The sequence below is a fragment of the Homo sapiens genome, chromosome 10 (assembly GCF_000001405.40).
Source record: "Homo sapiens chromosome 10, GRCh38.p14 Primary Assembly".
NCBI lineage: Eukaryota > Metazoa > Chordata > Mammalia > Primates > Hominidae > Homo > Homo sapiens.
In genome coordinates this window covers 100,240,020-100,253,094 of record NC_000010.11, presented here as the reverse complement: position 1 = coordinate 100,253,094, position 13,075 = coordinate 100,240,020, and the positions used below count along the sequence as shown (strand labels likewise).

General features: G+C 42.0%; 1 protein-coding gene and 1 pseudogene across 5 annotated transcripts in view; one reads left to right on the top strand and one right to left on the bottom strand.

The window, feature by feature from the left end:
* Positions 1–13,075, top strand: part of CWF19L1 (CWF19 like cell cycle control factor 1) — a 35,341-nt gene that overhangs the window by 14,544 nt on the left and 7,722 nt on the right. For all 5 annotated transcript variants that reach the window (NM_001303406.2, NM_001303407.2, NM_001303404.2 and 2 more), the window contains 4 exons: positions 2,763–2,847; positions 6,160–6,300; positions 7,182–7,296; positions 9,318–9,397. In NM_001303406.2, coding sequence (NP_001290335.1) covers positions 2,763–2,847; positions 6,160–6,300; positions 7,182–7,296; positions 9,318–9,397 — 421 coding nt within the window. The remainder of the gene's footprint in view (positions 1–2,762; positions 2,848–6,159; positions 6,301–7,181; positions 7,297–9,317; positions 9,398–13,075) is intronic.
* PHB1P9 (PHB1 pseudogene 9) lies at positions 3,870–4,898 on the bottom strand (annotated as a pseudogene).

The following is a 13,075-nucleotide window of genomic DNA, read 5'->3' as shown; positions in this document are numbered from 1 at the left end:
TGTGCAATGACTACGCCTGTGAATAGCCACTGCACTCTAGCCTGGGCAACATAGGGAGCCCCATTTCTTTAAAAAATTTTTTACCACAAATAAATATGAGATAATGTATATGTTAATTAGCTTGATTTAGCCATCCCACAGTATATACACATTTCAAAACAGCATGTTGTATACAATAAAAAATACAAATTTTAGTTATCAATTAAAAATAAATGAGAGGGAAAATTTAAAAAATTTTTTTTTGTCTTTTTTTTTTTTTTGAGACGGAGTCTCGCTCTGTCACCTGGCTGGAGTGCAGTGGCATGATCTCGGCTCACTGCAACCTCCGCCTCCTGGGTTCAAGTGATTCTCCTGCCTCAGCCTCCTGAGTAGCTAGGATTACAGGTGCGTGCCACCACGTCCGGCTAAGTTTTTTTGTATTTTTAATAGAGACGGGGTTTCACCATGTCAGTCAGGCTGGTCTTGAACTCTTGATCTCATGATCTGCCCACCTCAGCCTCCCAAAGTGCTGGGATTACAGGCGTGAGCCACCATGCCCAGCCAAGAAAATATTTTTTTTTATTTTTTTTCTTTTGCACTCAGAGGTGGAGTTTTTATTTTTTTAATTTTTGGGGGTACATAGTAGCATAGTAGGTATATAGAGGTCAAGTTCTTTTTTTTGAGACAGAGTCTTGCTCTGTCGCCCAGGCTGGAGTGCAATGGCATGATCTCGGCTCACTGCAACCTCCGTCTCCCAGGTTCATGCCATTCTCCTGCCTCAGCCTCCTGAGTAGCTGGGACTACAGGCGACCGCCACCACACCTGGCTAATTCTTTGTATTTTTAGTAGAGACAGGGTTTCACCGTGTTAGCCAGGATGGTCTCGATCTCCTGATATAGAGGTCAAGTTCTTAAAGAATATACTGCCAAGAAAACCAGTGTTTTACAAGTGAGAGAGTTAAGTAAAAGCTCAGAATTATCTTCACTGATAAAGGGCATGGATTATCCCTAAAATAACTTCTTTCCCTTCTTTTTTACAAAAGTAATATTTACGTGTTGCTAGTTAAAAAAATTTAAGTGAGCAAGAAGAGAATACCCCCCTTACCATAATCCCACAGCCTAATGCAGAATCATAGGTAATACAGGTTTTTCTGTTAAATCTCCATATACTCATTCTAGAAGAATGTCTTGTTCTCTAAAAATATACTGCGAAAACAGAAGTTTTGGGAACAAGCCACTCAAAACTTACACAGTTCTTAAGAATCGGAATACAGTTTTTCATAGAACATATAAAAATGGCCAATAGGGCTGGGTGTGGTGGCTCACGCCTGTAATCCCAGCACTTTGGGAGGCCGAGGCAGGCAGATCATGAGGTCAGGAGATCGAGACCATCCTGGCCAACACGGTGAAACCCTGTCTCTACTAAAAATACAAAAAATTAGCTGGGCATGGTGGCGGGCGCCTGTAGTCCCAGCTACTTGGAAGGCTAAGGCAGGAGAATGGCATGAACCCGGGAGGTGGAGCTTGCAGTGAGCAGAGATCGCGCCACTGCACTCCAGCCTGGGCAACAGAGTGAGACTCCGTCTCAAAAAAAAAAAAAAAAAAAAAAAAGGCCAATAGACATATAAAAAGATGCTCTTATCATTAGCCATTATGGTAATGTAAATCAAAAGCACAATGATACACCACTTCATACCCACTAGGATGGCAGTAGTCAAAAAGGCAAATACATAATAACAAGTGTTGACAAGGATGTGGAGGAATTGGAATCCTCACACATTGCTGGTGAGAGTGTAAAATGGTGCAGCCGCTTTGGAAAACTGTTTAGCAGTTCTTGAAAGGTTAAATGTAAGAGTCAGCAGCATGGTAACGGCAATTTTATTCCTGTCCCAAGATAAGGGAAAACATATGTCCACACAAAAACTTGTACACAGATGATCATAATAGCATTATTCATAATAGCTCAAAATGCAAACAACCCAAATGTCCATCACCTGGTGAATGGGTAAATTAAAAGTGGTAAATATATGATGAAATGTTATTTGGCAAGGAAAAGCAATGAAGTACTGACATGTGCTACAACATGGTTGAACCGTGAAAACTTTATGTTAAGTGAATGAAGCCAGACACAAAGGACTACATTTTTTTTTTTTTTAATTTTTTTTTTTTGAGACAAGATCTCATTCTGTCTTCCAGGCTGGAGTGCTGAGGTACTATCAAGGCTCACTGCAGCCTCAACCTCGTGGGCTCAAGTGATTCTCCTACCTTAGCCTCCTGAGTAGCTGGGACTGTAGGTATGCACCACCATGCCCAGTTAATTAAAAAATTTTTTTTGTAGAGACAGAGTCTCACTGTGTTGCCCAGGGTGTTCTCAAACTCCTGGGCTCAAGCAGTCCTCCTGTCTCAGCCTCCCAAAGTGCCTGGCCTATTTTAGCTTTTTATTACACAAAAGAAGAGGCAATAGTAAAGTGAAACCTCATGTGTCCATCACTTAGCTTGAACTATTGTCAACATTTTGCCAATTTTACAACTCTTTTAAAGCCAAAAGTTGGAGTTTTGATGGTTTCTGAAGACATAATCTCATCTCTTCCTAAAACAGCCTTGTGAGGTAGGGATTGTTGCCCTATTAGACGGATAGATAGTAACTTATCTGAAATCATTTGACTGGCGATGATGAACTGAGGACCTCTGCTCTTTTTATGGCCCCATAGAGTCCACATATTTTGTCATTGCAAATCAAAAGTAAAATTGTTTGCAATTTTTTGTCTCTCAAATATGTTGTAGAAACCATATCATTCTACAGGAAAATGCACAGCATGCCACCCGGTTTATAGCTCTGGCAAATGTTGGAAATCCAGAAAAGAAAAAGGTAAAGATTTACCTATTTGGTGGAAGGTTGATATTCATGGTCTGCCTGATAAATGTATCTCTTGTCCAGTTTAGCATTCAGATCTTCTCTTCTCCCTGACTGCAAGGTCTCAGCAGTTTCGGAGACTCCTTTGTAAAGGTATGGTAATGAAAGGTCAAGTCTCTTTGGGTCTTTTTGTAGGAGAGTTTAAAGAAGGGTTTGGGAAAATAGGCCCAGAGGAATAAAGGCAAAATATCAAATGAACAGTGTTCCTTTACTTCCACATCTATGTGGTTGTCTCTATGGGTATTTGTGAATTTGCCCTCAGATGCTTGCTTACTTCTTTAGCAACTTCATTTAGCTGAAATAAGAAAACCCCAAAGAGCTGGGCATGGTGGCCCACGCCTGTAATCCCAGCACTTTGAGAGGCTGAGGTGGGCGGATCACTTGAGGCCAGGAGTTTGAGACCAGCCTGGCCAACATGGTGAAACCCCATCTCTATAAAAAATAAAAAAAATTAGCCAGGTGTGGTGGGGGGCACCTGTAATCCCAGCTACTCAGGAAGCTGAGGCAGGAGAATTGCTTGAATGTGGGAGGTGGAGACTGCAGTGAGCTGAGATCGGGCCACTGCACTCCAGCCTGGGTGACAAAGTGAGACTCTGTCTCGGGAAACAAAAAAAAAGAAACCCAGAGGACTTACCTAAGCTCTCCTTAGGGCTAAGATTTCCTGAGGGAAATCTTAGTGATACCTGGAATCTATCTTTGTATTGGAAAACAGTGCAGTTGATGAAAAGAATATACCAGAAAAATAGGTTGTTTTTCTCACTTCTCTGAGAGTATTTCTGATTTCCCAGGGCCAAAACTAACCTATTGTGGATTGAGACAGCTAAAATAAGAACAGTTAGTGAAGTGGGAAAATAGGCAGATAAAGAGTCTGAAGATTATTCCACTATCACATGCCATAGACAATGCATACAAAAGATAAGCAAATCGATATTTTGTTTTTTTCATAATATTTCAAGCTTTTTTTGGGGGAGGGGGCGGATCTGAAGTGATTTTGCCTTTATTTCCTTCACTTTAAGCCAATCATGAAATTTCATAGTGATTTCTAGGGTTGGGGCAGAAGGAAGACAGTGTTAAGAATCATCAGGGCTGTGGCCCAGTTGGCCTGCGGAGGTGCAGGCAGGGTGGCCCCTCAGGGGCAGCTGGAGGAGCATGGACTGCCCCGCTGGCAGGGAGCTGATGTTCCCAGAGTATAAGAGCTGGAATGTGATGTCCTCCACAGCTTCCAGCTTGCGCAGCTCTATCAGGCTGTTCCCTGCGGTGGCCAGTGAGTTGGCGATCAGCTCTGCTGCCTTGGAATCGCCCTCAGCAGAGATGATGGCTGCCTTTTTCTGCTGCTCAGCCTTTTCTGCCACAAATCTGGTGCTCTCTGCTTCCCGCTGAGCCACCTGTTTGGCTTCCACTGCTTCTGTGAACTCCTTCCCGAAGGTCAGATGTGTCAAGGACACGTCATCCAGGATGAGCCCAAAGGTGGCTGCTTGCTCTGTAAGGTCGTTGCTCATCTGCCTGGAGACCAGCTCTCTTTAGGTGATTAGTTCTCCAGCATCAAAGTGAGCCACCACTGACTTGAGGATCTCAGTAGTGATGGACAGCAGCACACGCTTATCATAATCCTCTTCAATGCTGGTCAAGATGCGAGGAAGCTGGCTAGCGACAGGCCCCCATGTGCACCGTGATGTTGACATTCTGTAAATCTTTGCTATCAGTGATGACTGGCACATTACATGGTCAAGAACAGCAGTCAAAGATAATAGGTTTGTGTACCCATGGAATGAGAAAGTGAGTCCCTTCCCGTACCACAGTGTTCTGTACTCCATGGAATCGGTCAAAGATGACAGCTCTTTGCTCAGCATCCACATTATATAGGGCAGAGTTCACCACGTCTCCTGCAACAGCTAAGGCCAGGCCAAACTTGCCAACGGACTCAAAACACTTTGGCAGCCATGTTTTCTTCTGCTGGACCCTTTCATACCTGCTTCCACTCTGACCTCCACATAAATTCCCCAGCCTATTTTCAGCTTTTTTGCCCAATTCTTAGCAAATGTAGATTTGTAATTTTTCTTTTAATTGCCCTTTCAAACTGAATAACACTTAGTATTTTCAGTCTGTTTTATTCTCAGGGACATGTTAGCCTCAGCCATAAGCAACTTATACTTTCGTCAAAAGGTGTGCACATTATAAAATTTGGCAAGCATTGTTAAATTCATCTAAAAACTTTGTTCCAATTTATACCCCTACCCCAGCAGTGTTTTTTTTTTTCCCCCTCCATATTTCTCACTGGATCAAGTCAAAGTTTTTGTTTGTTTGTTTAAGATGGAGTCTCTGTCTATTGCCCAGGCTGGAGTGTAGTGGCACGATCTCGGCTTACTGCAACCTCCACCTCCCATGTTCAAGCGATTCTCCTGCCTCAGCCTCCTGAGTAGCTGGAACTATAGGTGTGTGCCACCATGCCTGGCTAATCTTTTGTATTTTTAGTAGAGATGGGATTTCTCCATGTTGGTCGGGCTGGTCTCTATCTCCTGACCTCAGGTGATTCGCCCGCCTCAGCCTCCCAAAGTGCTGGGATTGCAGGCATGAGCCGCCACCCCCAGCCCACGTCAAAGTTTTATTAAAGTTTTTGCCAATGTGATAAATGATATATAATTGTTACTTAGTTGCATTTCCCTAATCAGTAGTAAGTTTAAACATCTATTTATATCTTATCTAAAGTTTTCGATATCTGTGGCATTAGTGCAAGATTCCAAATATTTATATGAATATTTATTGCTTTACTGCTAGTCTCCTAAGAAAATTTTATTAGCATATATAGCAGAATTTGTATAATATCAGAGAGAGAAACACTAAGTTCGTTTGTAATTTTCATTAGGAAAAATAAATGGCAGTGCCACAATTCTGTGGACAGAGTACACAAAGATAAGGGACTCAGAGACAGAAGCAGTTTGTCTTCAAGGGTTATACAGCAAGTCCCTCTGGGCCTTGTAGTGACAGTTGTCACTATTCCATTATCCGAGTGAGAACTCCTGGTTTGTGAGGGTGGGGGCTTTGATTTCTTGTTCATTTCTTTGTCAACCCTTGGTGAGCCCCTGCAGAGGCCACTGAATTGGCATTTGATTTACTGTTTACTCTCTGAGCTATGGATGGGCTGGTTGCTGTTCTTTTAATTTTACTGAGTTTCACATGTTTTCTGTGAAATCTTCACAGTAAAATAGGTTGATTACAGTTGGGTAAATAGTATTTCCCCTAATGTCATTATGTTCTTTTTCTCTAAAGTATCTTTACGCGTTCAGTATTGTTCCCATGAAGCTAATGGATGCAGCAGAACTGGTAAAACAGCCTCCGGATGTCACTGAAAACCCTTACAGAAAATCTGGGCAGGAAGCATCCATAGGAAAGCAAATTCTTGCCCCTGTGGTATGTTCTGATTGAGGGTTGGCATTTTTATATGTGTTCTTTTCCTAGTTATAGTTTAGTACATAAGACAAGTTTAATCGTTAGAATCTAAATCTTTTTTTTCCCCTTGGGAAATCATGATGATGTTTAGAAAATCTTAGTAGATTTCAGCTAAGCTTAGTGTTTTTTATTGTAGTTTGGGGTTAACAGTTTGATACATTAGGTCTTTCTTTGTCCAAACTGGATTCAGACGTTTGGGGTTACAGTTTTATTTGTAAAGTCTTTGTCTAAAGTGATTATCTGTTCTTAGCTCTTTAGGCAAGGCTCTAGCAGCTTCATAGCAATGTAATTTGTGATTTTATGATGATTGCTAGTAGGAAAATAAGATTCACTCTGAAGAAATTTTCTTAATAGCAGAGTTTTCTCAAATTAATTTTTTCCCCACTAAAGCAAGGAATGTCAAGTTCCCTTACTAGCATGCACGGTCTGCTTTCTCAGACTTTTCTTTCTTTCCAAGCAGCCTTCTCATCTCTTAAGGCTGAATTAGGCTTGTTTGACCTGTGAAATTGTATGACTACACTATGTCCCTGTTGAGAGAAAAAAGAAAAGAGAATTTAGGTGGGTTCATGTTCTGCTTTAGGCAAGAATTACTTTATAACTTGCATTTTAACTCGTTTTTCCAAAGAGATGAATTTGGCAGTAGTTTGGATAAGTGTTGATGTATGACTGAGACTTCAGGCATCAGAACTGGGAAGATATTTTGCTTCCCTAGAGTGTGCAGAAAGGACTGAGAAGAAAGATAGGTATGGCATGGCAGGAATGTTCCCTTGTATGTGAGTGGTCGGCTACTTATCTAAAGGTTAGTTGAATAACATTTAATCTTCTGCTTTTGGCCATTCCAGGAAGAATCAGCCTGTCAGTTTTTCTTTGATTTAAATGAAAAGCAGGGAAGGAAGCGTTCATCCACAGGTAGAGATAGCAAATCTTCTCCTCATCCAAAGCAGCCTCGCAAACCTCGTAAGTACCTTTATTCCAGAGGTTTCTTCTATGAACAGTAACTGTTATTTTGGCTTTTCTTTGGAAAGCAGCATTGCTAAGAGAGCCTCTTCTGGCAGGGGAGAATTGTGCAATGAGTCATTAGGACCAACAGTAAAAATAAAATATAAACATGGCCTTGGCCAGGTGTGGTGACTGCACCATCTTATATTCCCACTGGCAATGTATGAAGGTTTCTGCTTTTCCACATCCCTGTCAACATTTGTTATAGCAATAGCCAGTTTTACAAGATAGCTCCCTCTTTTCCTGTCTCATAAATAGGTATGGTTCTCTAGGGGTGATGCTTTTATATACTTCTTGGACTCTGTATTTTTAGCCCATCTACTTGAGAGTGATGAGTTCCTTTTGCTAATTACCATTTAAAGCAATTTTCTTTGTCCTAAAAAGGCAGTCTTCTGTTGCTTATATACCCATATTGGGATAAAAGCGTTGATATTCTTGGCCAGGTGTGGGGGCTCATGCCTGTAATCCTGTACTTTGGGAGGCTGAGCCAGGCGGATCACAAGTTCAGAATTTTGAGACCAGTCTGGCCAACATAGTGAAACCCCTTCTCTACTAAAAATACAAAAATTAGCCAGGTGTGGTGGCACGGTCCTGTAGTCCCAGCCACTCAGGAGGCTGAGGTGGAAGAATTGCTTGAACCCAGGAGGCAGAGGTTGCAGTGAGCCGAGATGATGCCATTGCACTCCAGCCTGGGTGACAGAGTGAGACTCCATCTCAAAAAAAAAAAAAAAGTTGATATTCTTTTTATAGCTTCAGATTCAGAAACTAGAGCTTTATGAATTTTTATCTAGAATTATGTAATGCTGGAAACTGATTCACACTAACTGTAATCCCAGCACTTTGGGTGGCCGAAGCGGGTGGATCACTTAAGGCCAGGAGTTGGAGACCAGCCTGGCCAACATGGTGAAACCCTGTCTCTACTAAAAATACAAAAAATTAGCAAGGCATGGTGGCACCCACCTGTAGTCCCAGCTCCTCAGGAGGCTGAGGCATGAGAATCGCTTGAACCCAGGAGGCGGAGATTGCAGTGAGCCAAGATTGCACCACTGCACTCCAACCTGGGTGACAGAGCAAGGCCCTGTCTCAAAAAAATAAAATAACGGGCCAGGCGCGGTGGCTCACGCCTATAATCCCAGCACTTTGGGAGGCCGAGGTGGGCGGATCATGAGGTCAGGAGATCGAGACCATCCTGGCTAACACGGTGAAACCCCGTCTGTACTAAAAATAGAAAAAATTAACCAGGCGTGGTGGCAGACGCCCGTAGTCCCAGCTACTTAGGAGGCTGAGGCAGGAGAATGGCATGAACCTGGGAGGCGGAGCTTGCAGTGAGCCGAGATCGCGCCACTGTACTCCACCCTAGGCGACAGAGCGAGACTCCGTCTCAAAAAAAATAAAATAAGAATGGCCTGACTTCGAGGCTGTTCTGAGGCGCTTCCTGTACTATGGAAAAAGCACCTTTCCTTTGTGTCTGTAAAACATAATGAGGTGAAGAGCCTCCAAAACCAATATGGGTTCATAAAATAATAGAATGATCAAACTCGAAGGAAGGACTTTAAGAGTGTTTCATTGAGATTCTCTTTCTTCATCTTTTTGTTTCACACAAGAAGCTGACCTTGGGAGGGTAAATTTTCCAGGGTCATGGCTAATGGCATAGCTGGGGCTTTAATTGGGGCTCCTGACACCCAGTTCAGTGTTCTTTTGTTGTAGCCTATTGCCAGTTATGTGCTACTTTAGTCAGTGTGTGATTTTGCACTTGTGGGTTACCTACCTGTGGATTGGTTACAAATTCTAATGGAAGTTTAATTTCATTGAAAATGTTCATAGGGGGTCGTAGTGAGGAGCACAGGCTCAGCCCATTGTGGCAGTGTTGTATACCAGTCTTTTCAGGATATAAAAATCAGACAAAGCTGAGTTCTGTGGGGTGATTATATGCTGTAGTGCTTGGACCATAGTAACACCTGGCTTTCTTTTACATGAAGCTCAGCCTCCAGGACCCTGCTGGTTTTGCCTTGCTAGCCCTGAAGTGGAAAAACATTTGGTGGTCAACATCGGCACACATGTGAGTTACTTCCTTGGACTTTATAGAGAAGGAGATGCCTATTTGTTTTTTATTAACTTTATTGAGGCATAATCTACATATAACATTTACCCATGTTTAAGTGTATGATTCGGTGATTTTCGTAAGGTTACTGAGTTATGCCACCATCACGTGGTATAGTTTTAGAACATTTTTATCATTGCAGTAAGATCTCTTATGCCCATTTACAGTTAATCCCTGTTCCCAACTTTAGCCTCAGGCAGCAACTAGTCTACTTACTATCTCCATAGTTTGCCATTTTTGGACATTTCTTATAAATGGAATCATACAACATGTGGTCTTTTGTGTCTAGCTTCTTTTACTTAGCATAATATTCTTGAGGTTCATCCATGTTGCAGCATGTATCAGTATTTCATTCCTTTTTATTGCCAAATCATATTCCAGTGTATAGATGTACCACATTTCGTCTATATCTGTTCATCAGCTGATGGACGTTTGGGTTGTTTCTACTTTATGGCTATTAGAAATAATGCTCCCATAAAATATCTGCATGCAAGTCTTTGTGTGGATATAGACCTAGGAATGGTCTATATTTTGGATAGACCTAGGAATGGATTTGCTAGGTTATATAGTAAATTTATGTTTAACTTTTAAGAAACTGCTAAACTGTTTTCCAAAATGACTGCACCATCTTATATTCCCACCAGCAGTGTATGAAGGTTTCTGCTTTTCCACATCCCTGTCAACATTTGTTATAGCAATAGCCAGTTTTACAAGATAGCTCTCTTTTCCTCTCTCATAAATAGGTATGGTTCTCTAGGGGTGATGCTTTTATATACTTCTTGGACTCTCTGTATTTTTTAGCCCGTCTAATTGAGAGTGATGAGTTCCTTTTGCTAATTACCATTTAAAGTGATTTTCTTTGTCCTAAAAAGGCAGTCTTCTGTTGCTTATATACCTGTATTGGGTTAAAAATGTTGATATTCTTTTTATAGCTTCAGATTCAGAAACTAGAGCCTTATGAAATTTTTTTTTTTTTTTTTTTGAGATGGAGTCTCGCTCTGTTGCCCAGGTTGGAGTGCAATGGCGTGATCTCAGTTCACTGCAACCTCTGCCTCCCGGGTTCAAGTGATTCTCCTGCCTAAGCTTCCCAAGTAGCTGGGATTACAGGCACCTGCCATCACATCTGGCTAATTTTTATATTTTTAGTAGAGACAGGGTTTCACCCTGCTGGCCAGGCTGGTCTCAAACTCCCGACCTCAGGTGATCTGCCCGCCTCAGCCTCCCAAAGTGCTGGGATTACAGGCGTGAGCCACCACCCCCGGCCTATGAATTTTTATCTGGAATTATGTAATGCTGGAAGCTGATTCACACTAACTGATCACATCAAAGATAAAATTTCAGTTTTGCTTAGTAGTGGAGGGTGTAGCTTACTAATGACAGGAATACCCATATTCACACTCCTGGTGTGAGTATCTAGGAACCCAAGATGATGATGATATGGTTGTTTGGTAAGCATTGAATCAGACTATGAGAACGGGATGGTCTTGAGTATGATTTTATTCAGGTGGTGGAAAGCTTGAATGTGTGTGTCTCATGGGAAAGTCATTCTATTTCACATTTCCCCAGATACTTTTGCTTGGGTAGGGCTGGATTAGACATTAAATAATACCAGTGTTTGACTCTGATTTCCCTGGGTTTTCTGTAGACCATTGTTCTTTTTCATTCATTTAGAATGAAGAAAACTTAATTTTTAACACTATAGTCACCAGTGACTAGAATTGGATGTTCCCCAAGATTCCTGAGGAAAATATTTATAAGTCATTTTTGTTTTGTGACAGTTTTGGGAGGTGGGGCCTAATAAGAGGTGATTTGGTCATAAGGACTCTGCCTTCATGAATGGATTAATGTTATCACAGTAGTGGGTTATCATGAGAGTGGCTTTGTTAAAGTGAGTTCAGGTCCCCTTTTGCTTCTTTACTCTCACCCTCACTTGCCCTTCTGCCATGGGATGATGCAGCACGAAGGCCATTGCCAGGTGCCAGTGCTATGCACTTCGACTTCCCAGTCTACAGAACCACAAGCCAAATAGATTTCTATTCAAATAAATTATAGTCTGTGGTATTCTATTATAGCAACACAAGATGGACTAAGACAATTCCTTAAGTGTGTAGTGCTTCTGAAGACAGGTGCCTTCATCCATTTCTCATTGATTTGTTCTACTTTTGGTTTCTGGGGTTGATCCTTTCAACTTATCCTAACAATCTGAGGACCGTTTTTTGTGTCTTCCTTCCTGTAGACTGACTAGAGTCTCAATTTCATCTTACACTTTAAGGAGTTACACTTCTGCCTGTGTTGTTTCCACCTGAAGAGTCTCAGTCTTTTACATTTTAAAAAATGTCTTGGCCGGGTGCAGTGGCTCACGCCTGCTCACGGCTGTAATCCCAGCACTTTGGGAAGCTGAGGCAGGTGGATCACGAGGTCAGGAGTTCAAGACCAGCCTGGCCAAGAAGGTGAAACCCTGTCTCTACTGAAAATACAAAAATTAGCTGGGCGTGGTGGCGGGCGCCTGCAATCCCAGCTACTCAGGAGGCTGAGGCAGAGAATTGCTTGAACCTGGGAGGTGGAGGTTGCAGGCCAAGATCGCGCCACTGCACTCCAGCCTGGGGGACAGAGCAAGACTCTGTCACAAAAAAAAAAAAAAAAAAAAAAAAAAAAGGCTTAATTAGTGGCACACTCCTGTCTCTAGGGGGAGCACTAATGAAGTCAAGGCCGGTGACACAACTGAGCCATAGAACCTGTGGATGAAGTCTTCAGTGGAATAAGAGCAAACTTGAGAAGCTCTAGCTTTTATAGCAGTGCCCTTTTTGGATGATCTCTTTTGCATCTTTTTTCGTCTTTGGATTAGTTTATGCTATTTTTCTCTCCCACACAATTTGTATAGTAAGTTAGGCTTTGAATTGCCTTCTGTTTGGGAAGCTTCAATAGGTTCAAGATCACACGCAGGAGATAAGAGATTTGGAATGTGTGACATAGCTCAGTGCTGCTCTAGGCCTCAGTGAGAAGTGACTTTTCTTTTCCATTCATCTTTCTATTGTCCAGGTTACTCTAACTCAGGGTGTGGGCCTGGGCAACAATCAAGGAAACCTGTTTTCTTCTCATCTAGGCCTGAAACTAGAGGGGAAAAAGGTCTTGTTTGTGGCCCAACCCAACATCCCAAGTAGGCCACATGAGTATTTCAGCCTAGAGTCTACACTGTCCTTAGGTAGAAACCTCTTACAAACCTGTAATGACCTTTGGGTGTCTGTGGAAGAGTTTGGGATCTCCTCCCTGCAATTATTCTTTTTGATTGCCTTTTTTTGTTTTTTAAATTTTTTCCCTGGCTTTCTCTTTGTCGTGCCTTCCTCAAAGGTAGTACATAGAATTGTGCTGATGGTCCATAGCCACAGATTAGTAAAAAGGGGGAAGGGCTGCTGAGAGTGTAAAATAATTATTGCAAAATCAATGCATTTTACTTACGGGGAGAACCATTTATCCAGGTCCTATTTACACATGGTTAGAGATAATTCTAGTATAGAACAGATTAGAAGGTGAGAGTTTGAAAGAGAGAGGAGATTAGGCAAGCGTGAAACTATTCACAAAAATTGCAAGTACAGGATTAGAGATGGTGCAGAGGAGCTCTTTAGTTTAGACATCATT